We start from the raw sequence: 16,432 nt of genomic DNA, 5'->3' as shown, positions 1-16,432 counted from the left end.
ATGGGGTGGGAGACCCTAGAAAGGTCAGGATCGGGGGACTTTGGGGGGGTCAGGGTGGGAGTTCTGGGGTATCTGAGGACAAGGGGGTGTCTTAGGGGTGTCAGGACATGGGGGGGCTTTAGCGGGGTCAGGATGGGAGTTCTAGCGGGTTCCAGATGGAGGGGTTTCTGCTGGGGGAGGTCTAGTGGGATCAGGACAGGGGTTCCAGGGGGTTCATGTTGTGGGGGGGGTCAGGTTGGGTCCTCGGGGGTCATGTTGGGGGATTCTGGGGGGGTCAGGTTAGGGGGTCCTCGGGGGGTCATGTTGTGGGGGTTCTGGGAGGGCAGAGCAGGGGGTCCTAGGGGTCTCATGTTGGGGTTCTGAGGGGGTCAGGATGGGGTCCCAGGGAGGTCAAGATGTCAAGATGGGCATCTCTGAGAGGGCATCTCCTGCTTGTGGCGGTGCCCAGTGTGTGGAGTCCCTGAAGCTGGAAGTGTGAGGAGACAGGGAAGCCAGAGTGTGAGGAACGAGGAGGCGTGGGGATCAGGGGACCCTGCTGGCCCCTGAAAGCAGAGGTGCAGATTCTGAAGTGAGTGGACCGGAAAACCCTTGTGAGGGGCTGACCCAGTGCAGAAGCTTTGAGGAGGTGGAGGGCGACCAGAGGCCTGGGTGAAGGGATCTGAGAAAGGGGTATGCTGGGGTCCGGGTGGCGTGCTGGCAGAATCGCACTGCTCCAGGACGAGGGAGGGGACTGGGTGTTGGGGGCACACACTGGTGGGGTCATGCCAGGGTGATCTCTGCACTCCCGTTCTGCAGGCCGAGGCAGGGCAGGGCGATCCCCGGGGCCCTTGGCTGGGGTCCGGGTGCCGTGCCTGCGGTGTGACCCCTCAAGAACCAGGTGTCAGGGACTGTGGCATGTCTGGTGGCCTCTCCCGCTTGGGGGTCGGCCTTCTGTGACCCAGATGAAGACTCTTGATGCCAATGTGTGCAAGTCAACACGGGCACAGCCAGACACGGGGACCCGTTCCTCATTCTCTGCACAGAACTCGCCCTTCACATTTCTCTTCCGTGTGGGGTTTGATTCCCATCTCTTGAAGGATTCCCCCAGGAGAGGAAGCTGGCTGTAGGGACGCCAAGGTTTTGTTTTGTTTTGTTTAATAACCACAGTTGGGTTGCCAGTAAATTTAAGATGGATTAGTCAGCTGACTCCAGAATGCATTTTCAATGTTTTGAGCAGTACTTGAGACCTTCCAAGTCTGCCATCAGAAGTGTTCATTCATGGCTGGGTGTGGTGGCTCACGCCTGTAATCCCAGCCCTTTGGGAGGCCAAGGTGGGTGGATTACTTGAGGCCCAGAGTTCAAGACCAACCTGGCCAACATGGCAAAACCCCGTCTCTATTAAAAATGCCAAAAAAATTAGCTGAGCGCGGTGATGCACACCTGTAATCCCAGCTACTCAGGAGGCTGAGGCAGGAGAATCGCTTGGACCCAGGAGGCAGAGGTTGCAGTGAGCTGAGATCGTGCCAGTGCACTCCAGCCTGGGCGACAGAGCAAGACTGTCTCAAAAAAAATAAATATTCATTTATTCATTGATGTTATTCATTCATTCATTCATGTTCCCCTCCTTACCTTCTGTCCCACTCCCAGGGTCTCGCCATTTCTGCTTCTTCTGGGTCCTTGTTCAGCAGCTCCTCAGTGAGCACCTACTAGGGCCCTGTTTCCCCTCATGGGGGACACTAAGATGAGCAGGGGTTGTCCTGACCTCAGGCAGGTGTTGTTACCTCGGGCAGGTTCCCCCACCCCTGTGAGTCTGTTCCCTCCTGCCTGGGCCTCCGGGGACGATGGTGAGAATGGAATGAGATGGTGTTTGTCCAGCCCAGGAAGCGGTGCCCAGGCCCCTGCCTTCCAGCGAGCTCTTTGCAGCACCAGCTCCAGCGCCATCGCCTCGGTTCTGGCCTGTGTGCCCCGTGGCTTACGCCACTTCCAGCTGTAGGCGAACAGTGGTCGAACTTTGGGATTGGAAATTTCCAGATGGAAGGAGCAGTCCACGCCTTCATTCCCTGCTTCAGTCCCCTCTCTGGCTGTCCACCTTGGCTTTAGCTCCTTCCTGAATTGGGACCTCTGGAGGTGGCCTGTTCTTCCAGAGAGCCATTTAAAGCTGCACTGCCTGGTTGAGTAGCCCCTGGCTACAGGCAACACATAAAACAAGAATTGCCCAAACCCACGAGAGCATAGGCGCAATAATGCCATTGTAGATTTCAAAGGCTTAAGACGGAAACAGTGTGAAACATTCATTCATTTTTCATACTGGTTGTACGTTGAAAATGATAACATTTTTGATGGGTTAAATCAAATGTGTTATTAAAATTAATTTCAGCCAGGTGCAGTGGCTTATGTCTGTAATCCCAGCACTTTGGGAGGCCAAGGTGGGCAGGTGGCTTGAACCCAGGAATTCAAGAGCAGCCTGACCAACATGGCGAAACCTTGTCTCTACTAAAAATACAAAAATTAGCTGGGCGTGGTGGCGGGTGCTTGTAATTCCAGCTACTTCGGAGGCTGAGGCAGGAGAATTGCTTGAACCCGTGAGGTGGAGGTTGCAGTGAGCCAAGATCACACCACTGTACTCCAGCCTGGGCGACAGAATGAGACTTTGTCTCAGAAAATAATAATAATAATAAAAATTAATTAATTAAAAAGAGCCAGACATGATGGCTCACACCTGTGATCCTAGCTACTAGGAAGGCTGAGGTGGGAGGATCACTTGAGGACAGGAGTTGGAGGCTGCAGTGAGCTGTAATCGTGCCGCTGCACCCCAGCTTGGGAGGTAGAGCAGGACCCTGTCTCTAAATAAATGAAGTGAGTTCACCTGTTCTTTTTAAACATGGGTACTAGAAGATTTTAATTTGTGCGCATGGTTTACATTCCATTGCTTGTGCACAGCAATGGGTTCCTGTGTGCATTGCGCTTAGTTGTCTGTTACTCCAGGATCTGGTTCTGAGTCAAGGCATTTGTGAAAATAGCTTACTGTCGAAATTTCCTCTGAAGATTCCTTGAATCACCCAATAAAGTGCAATGTACTTGCTTGTTTAAATTGTTAGAAATTTTTTATTGTGTAGAAACAAGGTCTTGCTCTGTCACCCAGGCTGGAGTACATTGTCACGATCATGGCTCACTGCAGTCTCGACCTCCTGGGCTCAGCCTCCTGAGTAACTAGAACTACAGGCATGAGCCACTGTGCTCGGCTATAGGTCTCACTTTGTTGCCCAGGCTGGTCATGCTTATTTTTTGTTTTTTTTGTTTTTTGGTTTGTTTTGTTTTGAGACAGAGCCTCCCTCTGCTGCCCAGGCTGGAGTGCAGTGGCAAGATCTCAGTTCACTGCAATCTCCCCCTCCCGGGTTCAAGCAGTTCTCGTGTCTCAGCCTCCCAAGTAGCTGGGACTGCAAACGTGCACCACCGTGCCTACCTGATGCAGCTTTTGTGCTGAGCCTTCTGCCCTCTACTCTTGGTTCTCATTCTGTGCTCTGAGGCTGCTCAGAACGCTTGTTCCTCTATCTCCTGCAAAGACAGACATCTTGGCCCGGGCTCCGTTCACCCGATCCCAGCTTCCTCGTCTCCTCCCGACATGGTCCGGAGCTCGTGCGTTAGGAAGGAGGTCTCCCGGCCGCGTGCAATGGCTCACGCCTATAATCCCAGCACTTTGAGAGGCTGAGGCAGGCGGATCACTCAATGTCAGGAGTTGGAGACCAGCCTGACCAACATGGCGAAACCCTGTCTCTACTGAAAATACAAAAATTAGCCGGGCATGGTGGCGGGAGCCTGTAATCTCAGCTACTTGGGAGGCTGAGGCAGGAGAATCTCTTGAACCCGGGAGGCCAAGGTTGCAGGGAGCCGAGATCGCGCCACTGCATTCCAGCCTGAGCAACAGAGGGAGACTCCGTCTCAAAAAAAAAAGAAAAAGAAAAGAAAAAGACGGAGGCTTCCTGGGTCCTTTGAGCTGCAGCTTATCCTTGAGGTCCTGAGGTCTGCTAGACTTGTTGAGACAGGATCAAGGCAGCGTCCTCAGTTCCCGGGGAGCCGCCCTGGATTCTGGTCATTGGTGTGTCTATGGGGGTACACAGCATGGATCCTTTCCTTCTACACCATGAACCCCTCAAGTGCAGGAATCCAGTCTGTGTCCTCCTGGGGGCCGATGCACCACGGCCACATAGCAAACGGCCAGATGGAGTCTCCCTAGGTAGCTAACCCCTACCCTGGGGGGTCTCTGCAGGGCAAACCTGGTGGACCTGCAGAAGAAGCTGGAGGAGCTGGAACTTGACGAGCAGCAGAAGAAGCGGCTGGAAGCCTTTCTCACCCAGAAAGCCAAGGTCGGCGAACTCAAAGACGATGACTTCGAAAGGATCTCAGAGCTGGGCGCGGGCAACGGCGGGGTGGTCACCAAAGTCCAGCACAGACCCTCGGGCCTCATCATGGCCAGGAAGGTGAGCACTGCGGGGTCGGGGAGGTCGGGGAGTGGTGGGGAAGGTCCCCCTGGAAACAGGAGGCAGGTTGGGAAGGCAGCCGGGTCTCTGCATTCTGATTAGCTCCAGGCTCTGTCCCTCATCCCCACCAGGGACTCTAGGTCCTGAGAAAGGGCCCAGCTTCTGGGCAGATGGGAGCCGTGCCAGCCACACCAGCCACACACAGCTGTGCCCTCCAGTGACTACTTTCTGCCCTGGAGGGCACTTGAAATCCATATTCCCAGAAAGCTAGCACGTGGGGGTTTCAGAAATGCGAGTGTGTTATGGTTCTCCAGAGAAACAAGCGATGAAGACGAAGCGTGTGTGTGTTTGCGCCTATGTGTACAGCCACCTCAGGGCGATGGCTCAGCCAGTGACAGACCGCCTACGCAGCGGTGGCGACGTAAGATGATCAGGCCATGTTTTTGCTGTGCCTTCTGTATGTTTATTTTTATTTTTATTTTTACTTTTTGAGACGGGGTCTTGCTCTGTTGCCCAGGCTGGAGTGCAGTGGCATGATCTTGGCTCACTTCAACCTCCGCCTCCTGGGTTCAAGGATTCTCTTGCCTCAGCCTCCCGAGTAGCTGGGATTACAGGCACACACCACCAGGCCCAGCTCATTTTTTTGTGTTTTTAGTAGAGGCAGGGTTTCGCCATGTTGGCCAGGCTGGTCTGGAACTCTTGACCCCAGGTGATCCGCCTGCCTCGGTTCTCTATATTTAAATAAACAGACAGCAGCTCAGCACTGCGCTGTACAGAGCATGGGAGCCTGGGTGTGGAATGGGCTTTCCAGTGTTTGCACAGTGACGACATCGCCCAGAGAGGGATTTCTCAGTGTATCCCTGTCCTTAATGATACTTGAGTGTATGTGTAGAGAGAGATTTATTCTAAGGAATTGGCTGGAGTGCAGTGGTGCGATCTTGGCTCACTGCAACCTCTACCTCCTGGGTTCAAGGGATTCTCCTGCCTCAGCCTCCCGAGTAGCTGGGATTACAGGTGCATGCCACCACACCCAGTTAATTTTTGTTTTTTTAGTAGAGATGGGGTTCACCGTGTTGGCCAGGCTGGTCTCGAACTCCTGACCTCAAGTGATCCTCTTGCCTCGGCCTCCCAAAGTGCTAGGATTACAGGCATGAGCCACCGCGCCTGGGCAGGCTTTTCCCTGAAGGCCTTCAGCTGATTGGCTGAGACTCACCCACCCTGGGGTGGAGTAATCTGCTTTGCTCAGAGTCTGCCAATTTAAAGGTTAATCACATCTTAAAAACATACCTTCCCAGCAACCTCTAGACTGGCGTTTGACAACTGGGCACCGTGGTCTCACCGAGGAGACACACAAAGCTGACTGTCACCCACCCTTTGAAAGTCTGCAAGCCCTGGTGCTGACGGCCCCCGTGCTTAGTCATCCCGGGCTCCTGGGCCATGATGCAGCCTCTGTGCTCTGTGTTTGAGAATAGTGCCCAGGGGATACAGGGAGGATGTGACCACTTGGGGACAGTGGCTCTTAAACACAGAAGTAGGGGACTTAGTGTTGACAGGGTGTTCAGCTCCTCACCGGTGTTCTTTCAGACCTAGAACGCTGCCTCTTCCTGGAAGCCCACCATCCTGTAGTTCCCCAAACTGGGGGAACGTGACTGCACCTAGTCCCGTGGGTCTGCGCAGGTGGCAGCAGTGCTTGAGGGCCCTGCCTTCCTCGGGAGCAGCGGCTCAACTCCTGCGGGGATTTAGCTCTGCAGCTCTGTCTTCTGGCCTCTAGAGTGCTGCCCTCCCTCCCTCCTGAAGTGTGCAGCCGCGGACTTGCTATTTCTGTCCCCGTACTGCAGGCAGCCTCTTCCAAACCGGAGCAGCCTTGGAAAGCTCAGGTCCGCCTCCGCCCGAAGCACTGGGTGGAAAAAGGCAAGCGTGTGGTTCACACAGCCACAGCAGGGCCTTGAGACAGTGCCAGTCCTCGTGTGTGCCAGGGACCCTCAGGCTTCTGGGGGAGCCTCCAGTGGTCCCTGATGGGCTGGGCAGTGGACATGAACCCAATGCTTGCTGTATCAGCAGCTCCTGCTCCTGCTGACAGGCGCAGGTGAAGCCGGGCCCACCTGCAGCTTTACTGTAGCGGGGAAAGGGAGATCGGGGCCTTTGAACCTGAGGGCAGGCGTGGCTGGGCAGGTTCTGTGGTCTGGTGGGTGGAGATGTCCCAGCATCAGCTCTGGGTGTCAGTACTGTCCTTCCGTCATGTAAGATGTCAGTCATCTTGGGGGAGGCGGGGAAAGGGCGCACGGGACTCTCGTTACTATTTTTGCAACTTCCTGTGCTTCTATAATTCTTTCAAAATTAGGTTTTCTTTAAAGTGCCCGAAAACTCGGGTGGGAGAGGATGCATTGAGCTCGTGGGCTCAGCGGCTCTGGCTGCTATGCAGGTAGGGCTGCAAGGGCTCCTTTCATTTCATCTTATTTATTTACTTATTTTTATTTATTTATTTTTTTGAGACAGAGTCTCGCTCTGTCACCCAGACTGGAGTGCAGTGGCACAATCTCGGCTCACTGCAACCTCCACCTCACAGGTTCAAGCGATTCTCCTCCCTTAGCCTCCTGAGTGGCTGGCATGCCTGGCTAATGTTTGTATTTTTAGTAGAGACGGGGTTTCACCATGTTGGCCAGGCTGGTCTCAAACATCTGACCTCAAGGAATCCATGCATCTTGGCCTCCCAGATTGCTGGGATTACAGGCGTGAGCCACCGCGCCTGGCCCAGTCTCGGTATTTGAGGTCATGCTGGTTTGTAAATGTCTTTTTGGCTTGACCGTGGCCTCTGACCCCTCTCCCATTGGAGCAGCGTCCCCGCGTTACCTGGGCCAGGGAGATAGGTGAAGAACTTGCTGCTTGTTACGCGTGTGGGGCTTCTTTGAATTGTCCATGCTCATAGCAGAGATGAGAGTGTTTGTTCTCGCCTCTGAGTTCCTCCACTCCGCTGTAGCTTACTTCCAGGGTGGCGGTCACACGGCCTGCCCAAGGCCACCTCACAGTACCAGCTGCTGTCTCACAAGTGACGACCTGAGTCGAAGCCGCTGCCAACACCTTTGACGCGTGTTCTCATTAAAATTGAACAGCAGCCTCGTTTTACAGTTGAAGAAACCGAGGCTGTGTGGGGTCAGTGCCTGAATCGGATTCGAACCCTCTTGGATCTGCTCGGACTTGGGAGCAGCTGCCGGGGCTGAGCCTCCAGATCCACTGCACTGCGGTCCCCTAGCTGGCCACCGCTCCCAGCCTGTGTGTTAATTTTTAAAATCTCTTGTAGAGATGAAGGCTTGCTACGCTGCCCAGTGTTGAACTCCTGGCCTGAAGCGATCCTCCCGCCTCAGCCTCCCAAAGCACTGGAATTACAGATGTGAGCCACTGCCCCGGCTCTCTTCCAATTTTTGACAACACCTAATTCAGGATGTTTGGAAGCGCAGTGTGGGCTGCACGTGACTCTTGGCTACATCCAGCTTGGGAGCTGTCAGTTTCTGATCCATGATTTACGAGGTTGCTGAGATCATTCCAGGCCTGCGGGGTGGCGGCCGGGGGGCGGCTCGGTCCTCCTCTTCCCCTCCTGCTCTCGCTGACACTCAGTGAAGCTCTTTCCTCTCTTTTCCTACTCCGAATCCCCCAACCCCACCCCTGGCTCAAATTCCTCATTCTTCTGTAGCAACCGTCTCCACCTCCGAGCCAGGTCTGGCATTTAGTTTTAACACCCTGACACCATCCACATTTAATCAGCTATTAGAGCTGGCACGGCCTGGGCTGTGGTGTCCTGGAAAGAATACGGGCTCCAGTGTTCCCCGAGGCAGCCCCAGTCCTGACTTAGCAGCTAATGCCACTGGGAACATGGCTCCGAGGCTCCGAACCTGAGCTTGCTCAGTCAGCACCAGTGGGGCAGTACACCCATCCCCCGGGCTTGTCAGGGTGAACTTTAGAGGGTGCAGGTGCTCAGGAACGCCCCCTCCCCTCCTGTCCATCTGTCTGTCTGTCTGCCTTTCCCCTTGCACACCCTCAGTGGTGGCTGCCCGTTTATCTGGAATGCTCGCTCGACAGGCCCCAGGTATTACAGAACCATTAAAACTGAGATCACGCCGCAGCCGCCCTGTGCAGACTGGCCTCCCTCGCCTCTGCTATTTACTACAGCCTTCCAGAAGGCCTCTCGCTTCCGACGGCCTCATTTCACGTTCGGAGCTCCTGGGTTCCAAGGCCTCTGGGATTCCTCCCAGTAGCCCATCCGCCACTTCCTCTCCTAAATTACGACTTGCGACGGCCAGCCGAACGCGCGCTCTTTCCTGCTTCTTGTCACCCATCTGTGGCTCCTTTGAAGTTTTTGGTCAGGAACTGAGCCGTCCAAGACAGCAGCCCCCGTTCAGATGTGGCTACCGGGCTCTTAAAATGCGGTCAGTCCGGACGTGCTGAACATGGAAAACACGCACCAAGCTTCAAGGGCTCGGTGTGAAAACAAATGTGGCCTTTTCCAGTAAATCTCCCAACCTCCACGTGAACATCCAAGCTTCAGTACCAGGCCCTTGTGCAACGGGAGTGAGCACCAGCACCTCTCAGTTACAGCCTGGCTGGAGGGGAGAGCATCCTGGGGTGCTGGGGTGGCCCTGGGGCCTGTGGGGTCACCATGAGGGAGTGGAGTAGCCCAGGGGCCACCGTCTGGAGCTGGATTCTGCAGGCTGGCCTGAGGGGAGAAGCCAGCGCTACAGGGGCAGGCAGGGGCGGGCAGGCAGGGGCAGGCAGCGCCAGGGCTGCGGTCAAGGTGGGAGACGCTTAGCCTGAGGAGCGGCCGGGCGGGGGGAGGTGGGCACCGTGCCCCGGGCCCTGCCATGCTTCTCAAGGTCACAGGCCTAGAGCAGGGGCCACTCCCCACACACGCCCTGTGCTGTGGCCACGGTCAGCCTCCTGCTGCCCTGAACACAGCGAGGGCTCCTTCATGCCTCCGTGCCCGCTGACAGGCGGCTCTTTGTCCCTCTGCCTGGAACACCCTCCCCCATCTCCTCCTCATGGTGACTCTGTCCTTCCTCAAGGCCCGGCCCCAGTGTCACCTCCTTGTTGCTGCTCCCCAGGCACCTGGGTTGATTCTCCTTGGTGGACTTTTTGCCACATTGAGGTGGTCTTACCCATTCCTGTTCCCGTCCTGACCCCAGGTCTCCTCCAGGAAGGAGCTGTCTCCGTGCTTGGCCGCCCCTTCACTGACTGCACCTGGGCCTGGCTTTGCCTCTGTGGCGGATGAGTGGAAACCATGTCTTTTTCTTGTCTTATTGCAGTGGCTGGAGCGGGATGCTGTGATTCTCCAGGGTGCCGTCCCAAAGCCTCAGGCTGCTCCTTGCCATGCTGGGGGTCCTGGCTCTTCTGGGGCTTGTCCATGGGGTTAGGGGTTGCCCGTGGTGTTTTTGTTGTTGTTGTTGTTGTTGTTTTGTTTTTTTGGGGGTTTTTTTGAGACAAAGTCTCGCTCTTGTCCCCCAGGCTGGAGTGCAATGGTGCGATCTCGGCTCACTGCAACCTCTGCCTCCTGGGTTCAAGTGATTCTCCTGCCTCAGCCTCCCGAGTAGCTGGGATTACAGGCGCCTGCCACCACACCCGGCTAAATTTGTATTTTTAGTAGAGACGGGGTTTCACCATGTTGGTCCGGCTGGTCTTGAACTCCTGACCTCAAGCAGTCCGCCCACCTCAGCCTCCCGGAGTGCGGGATTACAGGCGTGAGCCACACACCAGGCCTCCTTTCTGCATCTCTTGAGCGGATCTTTGGCTTCTTGCCTTTTTAAAGTGGCACCGGGGTCAACTTGATGAAAATTTCCCCTGCCGTCTTGAACTTGGGTTGAAGGAGAGGGAGAATTCTCAGGGGCGCCCGCGGCTCTGTGTGGCTAACGTCTCCACGGGGTGTCTCCAGCTTGAGGGTGGGAAGGGGCTCGGGATAGACCCACCCCAAGTGGAGAGAGGCCTGGAGGGGAGCCATTGCCCTGCCTCCCTCCTGGGAAAGGCAAGCACTTTGTCAAAGTCTGATTTGATGGGGAAAAATGCTTTCACACAGCTCCCACTACAACTGAGTGGGAATTAAGTGTTTGCTTAATTGGTCTTTTTTGAAAACAGGTTTATTGAGGTGTAATTCACATACCTTACAGTGTCCCCTTTGAAAGTATGTGACTCAGTGGATTGTAGGATATTCACGGCATCGTCCTCATCACCACAGTCAATTTTACAGTATTCCATCACCCCAAAAAGAACCCTGTCCACATCAGCAGTCACCCCCATCCCCTCCTCCAGCCCCCGGCACCCACACATCCCCTTCCTGTCTCTGGATCAGCCTGTCCTGGACATTTCACAGAAATGGGATCACATATTATGTGGCCTTTTGTGTCTGGCATCTCGCACTAAGCATGACATCCTCAGGGTTCACCCACGCTGTGGCCGGGGTCTTGGCCTGGTTCCTCTTTACGGCTGAGTCCTGTTTCAGTGAGGGGTGGGCTGCGCTGGGTTGGCCTGTTCTGCCCTGGGTGGACGCCTGGGTTCTTTCCACCCTTGCCTGCTGTGAGTCGTGCTGCTGTGAGCACTTGGGACACGTTTCTGTGTGGACGTATGTGTCCACTTCTAGGCAGACACCTAGGGGTGGAATTGCGGAGGGGGTACTGAGTTGGTCTTGACCACTGTTGGGAACGCCTGCAGAGCAGAGGCCCCAAATGCCTTCATCCCGTTTTCGGGCACCCCCCAAGCCAGTCTCGCCCCTCTCCCCTTGCAGCTGATCCACCTTGAGATCAAGCCGGCCATCCGGAACCAGATCATCCGCGAGCTGCAGGTCCTGCACGAATGCAACTCGCCGTACATCGTGGGCTTCTACGGGGCCTTCTACAGTGACGGGGAGATCAGCATTTGCATGGAACACATGGTGAGTGCGTCCGGGGCAGGGGCAGGGGCAGGGCCTCCACGGAACAGAGCATGTTGGGGAGAAGGAAGACCCCCTCACGGCCCCTTTCCTCAGAGGCAACAGTGCGCTGGCTTCCAGGGGATCCTTCTCAAGGCAGTCGATGCCATACAAGTATGTATATGTAGATGCCTTTGGTTTTGTTTTGTTTTCTTTTTGTTTTTTTGAGAGGCAGTCTCACTCTGTCACTCAGGCTAGAATCTAGTAGTGGCACAATCTCGGCTCACTGCAACCTCCACCTCCCAGATTCAAGTGATACTTCTGACTCAGCCTCCCGAGTAGCTGGGATTACAGGCGCCCGCCACCACTCCTGGCTAATTTTTGTATTTTTAGTAGAGACAGGGTTTCACCATCTTGGCCAGGCTGGTCTCAAACTCCTGACCTCAGGTGATCCACCTGCCTCGACTTCCCAAAGTGCTGGGATTACAGGTGTGAGCCACCGCGCCCAGCCAATGATTTTGTTTTTTAAGCACTCATGTCTTCCTCCCAGCTTTGCTTTTTCTCTTGCTGTATCCCGGGCGTCCTTATGACAGCAGAGAGGGAAAACACTCCCGTTTTGGGGGGTACGTAGGTTGTTTCCAGTCTCTGCCCTATCTCAAATAACATGGCACTGACTCGCAGGCACACCTGTGAGGTAAGCTGTGTGAGGGAATTGCTGGGTTCCAGGGTAGATGCAATTAAAAACTGATCCCTATTAGGCCGGGCACGGTGGCTCATGCCTGTAATCCTACCATTTTGGGAGGCTGAGGTGGGAGGATCATTTAAGCCCAGGAGTTCGATACCAGGCTGGGCAACATAGTGAGAAACCATCTCTATAATTTAAAATATTAGGTGAGTGTGGTGGCACGTGCCTGTTTTAAAATTGTTAACAACATTTAAAAATGGGGATAAAAATAGCACCAGCTACATGAGAGGCTGAGGTGGGAAGATCACTTGAGCCCAGGAGGTTGAGGCTACAGTGAGCTTTGGTCACGCCACTGCACTCCAGCCCGGGCAGCAGAGCGAGATGCTGTCTCAAAACATAACAAAGCTGATGACTGTTTTTAAATGGCCTTCTCAGGAAAGTGTGGCAGTCTGAGCTTGTCAAGGCAGGCCTGTGCCTCCCCCAGCTCAGATCTGTGGGACCACAGTCTCTAGGGTGGGGTACAGGCACCCCCTTCATTGACTCTGACGTGCCCCCTTGTTAAGACACTCTGGCCTCGAAGCCCAGAAGTGGGTGAGATTGGGTGGAACAAAAGGAGAAGTGGCCAGAGCTCAAAACCCCGGAGGAAATGCTGCCGACCCCGCCACACCGAGCTCATCAGGTATCAGACCGCCTGCCGCACAGCGTCGTTTGCAAAACCAGAATGCTTGGGTGACACCCTGCAAACGTGCGATCCCCTTTGACAGTTTTGTAATGAAGGCAGGAAGTGAATTTGAGCAAGGCCCCCACGTAGCCATGTGACCCGAGCAAGGCAGCACCCGCCTTGGAGCCCCTTTCCCGCCTGCGAGGGAGACCTGGCGTCTGCCCCGCTGCTCGCAGAGTCACGTTGCCGGCGGCATCAAAGGGCGAGGAAAGGATGAGGAAGCGCTTTGTGGTCTGAGGCAGCCCCTCTGTCATGTGGTGCTCCCTATTCCTCCTCCTCGTCTTCCTCGTCTTCCCCCTCCTCCTCGCGCCCGGCAGGCACCCTCGCTACTCAGGAGTTCTGTCCATCCTCGTTTTGTGTGGCTGACTCAGTTCTCGAGCCCCCTTCCTCCCATGCAGAAAGGGGACAGTGTGGCAACCCGCCCCCAACCTCTATTCTTGGTGAATTTAAAATGGGGGTTCCCAGAGTGGGTGCTGGCACCCCAGGGGACACCACACAGACCACCAGGCTGCAGGAGGGAGACACAGGCCGTGCTGTCTGTGTTATGGAGTGCACCCTTTAAAAGTTCCGAGGTGGTCTAGCCAGGGGCGGTGGCTCACACCTGTAATCCCAGCACTTTGGGAGGCCGAGGCGAGTTCAGGAGATCGAGACTATTCTGGCTTGGCTAACGTGGTGAAACCCCGTCTCTACTAAAAAAAAAAAAAAAAATACAAAAAAAATTAGCCAGGCATGGTGGCGGGTGCCTGTAGTCCCAGCTACTTGGGAGGCTGAGGCAGGGGAATGGCGTGAACCCTGGAGGCAGAGCTTTCAGTGAGCTGAGATCGTGCCACTGCACTCCAGCCTGGGCCACAGAGCGAGACTCCATCTCAAAACAAACAAACAAACAAAAACAACGTGGAGCACGTTGATTTTTAAAGCATTGGGTGAGCCCTGACAGGGCAGCATCCGTGGAAGTAAAGTCATCCAAGGGGGCCATCCCTGCCATCCTCGCCGGCCCTGTGAATTCTCTCCATGCTGAACGATGCTCTCGGAATTCACCTGAGTGCCCATAGGTTTCCATGGAAGGGCCTGCCCAGCACCTGATTCATTCCCTCCCAGGCCACCCCAGTGAGGCAAAGGGGCAGCTTAGCACCGGGGCTGAGGATGGGCGTCCGGGTCAGGTCTCGGCCCCACCGCTCACCCTTACCACGGGTTCGGGACAGGACTCTTGCCGCTTCTGCTGTGAAGCTGAGGGAGGTCGTAGTCCCTGCTGGGGTGAGGACTGTGTGAGCTCCTCCCAGGATGGCACCCGGCACGCACAGGTGTTGCATCCATGTCCTGGCTGCTGCAGCCATTTCCCTGTATTTCTACGCTGTTTCCTCATATTTCTATGTCATCTTTATTTTGCATTTTTTTCCTTCTTTTTTTGTGGGGGGTAGGGGGTACAAGGTCTCTCTCTGTCACCCAGGTTGGAGTGCAGTGGCATGATCCTAGCTCACTGCAGCCTCCACCTCTTGGGCTCAAACGATCCTCCTGCCTCAACCTTCCAGGTAGCCGGGACTACAGGTGCACCAGCACGCTTGAGTAGCTTTTTAAGTTTGTTTTTTTTTTTTTTTTTTTTTTTGAGACGGAGTCTAGCTCTGTCGCCCAGGCTGGAGTGCAGTGGCACAATCTTGGCTCACTGCAAGCTCCACCTCCCAGGTTCACGCCATTCTCCCGCCTCAGCCTCCCGAGTAGCTGGGACTACAGGCGCCCGCCACCACAGCCGGCTAATTTTTTGTATTTTTAGTAGAGACGGGGTTTCGCTGTGTTAGCCAGGATGGTCTCGATCTCCTGACCTCGTGATCCGCCTGCCTCTGCCTCCCAAAAGTGCTGGGATTACAGGCGTGAGCCACCGCGCCCGGCAAGTTTTTTTGTAGATATGGGATGGCACTATGTTTCCCAGGCTAATCTTGAACTCCTGGGCTCAAACGATTCTCCCGCCTCAGCCTCCCAAAGTGCTGGGATTACAGGGGTGAGCCACCGTGCCCAGTGATGTATTTATATAAAATGGCAAGCACTTGTTGGTGACTGGAACTTAGGAACAGTGGGGCTGGCTGCTTCCCTGGGGTCTGAACCTATTACTGGATAACTCGGGGCAAGAACCCAGTGGACAGTGGGGCCTCATGGGATGGGGAAAGGAGAGCCAGTGGCTTACGGACCTCGTAGAGGTGCCCCTTGGCCTTTCTGGGGGTCTCGTCCTATCTGCTGAAGAATGCCCGTCTTGTTCTACTGTAATGGAAACTGGACATGTCCATCAGTAAGGGAGTGATTAAAGAATGATATTTGGCTGCTTTGCAGTGGCAAAGTGAAATCCACAATGGTGTACTGAATGGGAGTATCCCCACAGTACAACACTATTCATGTAGTGGAGGGGTGGTTGTAGAAAATAAACATAGCATGGGCTGGGTGCAGTGGCTCACGTTTGTAATCCTAGCACTTTGGGAGGCCAAGGCAGGCGGATCACGAGGTCAAGAGTTCAAGACCATCCTGGCCAACATGGTGAAACCCCATCTATACTAAAAATACAAAATTAGCTGGGCATGGTGGCGCACGCCTGTAGTCCCAGCTCCTCAGGAGGCTGAGGCAGGAGAATCACATGCACCCGGGAGGCGGAGGTTGCAGTGAGCCGAGATCATGCCACTGCACTCCAGCCTGGCGACAGCAAGACTCCATTTCAAAATAAAAGAAAAATAAAATAAACATAGCATTGGCCCATTCATTTGTTTATTGTATTTTCAAGTCAGGGTCTTGCTCAGTTGTCCAGCCTGGAGTGTACTGGTGCTGTCCTCCCACGTCAGCCTCCCGAGTAGTTGAGACCACAGGCGTGAGCCACCATGCACAGCTAATTTATTTGCTTATTTGTGTAGAGATAGGGTCTCTCCATATTGCCCAGACTGGTCTTGAACTCCTGGCCACAAGTGACCCTCCTGCCTCGGCCTCCCAAAGTGCTGGGATTACAGACATGAGCCCATTTCGATGTTGTTTTAAACTCTGGCTGGGCAAGCATGCTTTAATCCCAGTGCTTTGGGAGAATCCCATGAGCCCAGTAGGTCGAGGCTGCAGTGAGCTATGATTGAGCCACTGCTCTACAGCCTGGGCAAGAGAGTGAGTCCCGAGTCTGTGTTTCCAAATACACAGCAAGATGCGGGGGCCAGGTGCTCACTCCTGTGATCCCAGCACTTTGGGAGGCTGAAGTGGGAGGACCTCTTCAGCCAGGACTTCGAGAGCAGCCTGGGCAACATGAGGAACCCCCGTCTCTACAAAAAATTAGCAGGACATGGTGGCGCGCCTGTACTCCCAGCTACTTGGGAAGCTGAGGTGGGAGGACTGCCTGAACCAAGGAGGTGGAGGCTGCAGTGAGCCAAGATCACAGCACTATGCTGCAGTCTGGGCGACCCCTGCCTGAAAGAAAGAAAGAGAGAGATGAAGAAAGATCTGGAACAATATAAGTCACACTTGAGGGGGGAATGGTGGAAGTGATGCGGCGTCCAGGTTATTTATCCTCATTTGAATTTTTTATAAGAAAAATGTGTTTGCCGGGTGCGGTGGCTCAAGCCTGTAATCCCAGCACTTTGGGAGGCCGAGGCGGGCGGATCACGAGGTCAGGAGATCGAGACCATCCTGGCTAACACCAGTAGTGAAACCCCATCTCTACTAAAAAT

The 16,432-nt window shown here is 54.8% G+C and overlaps 1 protein-coding gene across 2 annotated transcripts in view, besides 3 other annotated features; it reads left to right on the top strand.

Annotated features, from left to right (window-relative positions):
* Positions 1–16,432, top strand: part of MAP2K2 (mitogen-activated protein kinase kinase 2) — a 33,802-nt gene that overhangs the window by 2,247 nt on the left and 15,123 nt on the right. For both annotated transcript variants that reach the window (NM_001440688.1, NM_030662.4), the window contains exons 2-3: positions 4,247–4,457; positions 11,221–11,367. In NM_001440688.1, the coding sequence (NP_001427617.1) occupies positions 4,247–4,457; positions 11,221–11,367 (358 nt within the window). The remainder of the gene's footprint in view (positions 1–4,246; positions 4,458–11,220; positions 11,368–16,432) is intronic.
* Positions 5,583–5,769: a silencer, noted in NCBI's record as "fragment chr19:4116105-4116291 (GRCh37/hg19 assembly coordinates)". NCBI's record gives its function as "represses an EF-1alpha promoter that drives an FKBP-Casp9 reporter gene in an ReSE screen in K562 erythroleukemia cells {active_cell/tissue: K562}" and the evidence as "EXISTENCE:reporter gene assay evidence [ECO:0000049][PMID:32094911]".
* Positions 6,597–6,646: an enhancer, noted in NCBI's record as "active region_13758". NCBI's record gives its function as "activates an Ori minimal core promoter by ATAC-STARR-seq in GM12878 lymphoblastoid cells {active_cell/tissue: GM12878}" and the evidence as "EXISTENCE:reporter gene assay evidence [ECO:0000049][PMID:35858748]".
* Positions 12,401–12,530: an enhancer, noted in NCBI's record as "active region_13757". NCBI's record gives its function as "activates an Ori minimal core promoter by ATAC-STARR-seq in GM12878 lymphoblastoid cells {active_cell/tissue: GM12878}" and the evidence as "EXISTENCE:reporter gene assay evidence [ECO:0000049][PMID:35858748]".

Source organism: Homo sapiens, chromosome 19, assembly GCF_000001405.40.
Source record: "Homo sapiens chromosome 19, GRCh38.p14 Primary Assembly".
Lineage (NCBI taxonomy): Eukaryota > Metazoa > Chordata > Mammalia > Primates > Hominidae > Homo > Homo sapiens.
The sequence above is the reverse complement of the archived record's forward strand: the minus strand, read 5'-3'. Positions and strand labels throughout refer to the sequence as shown.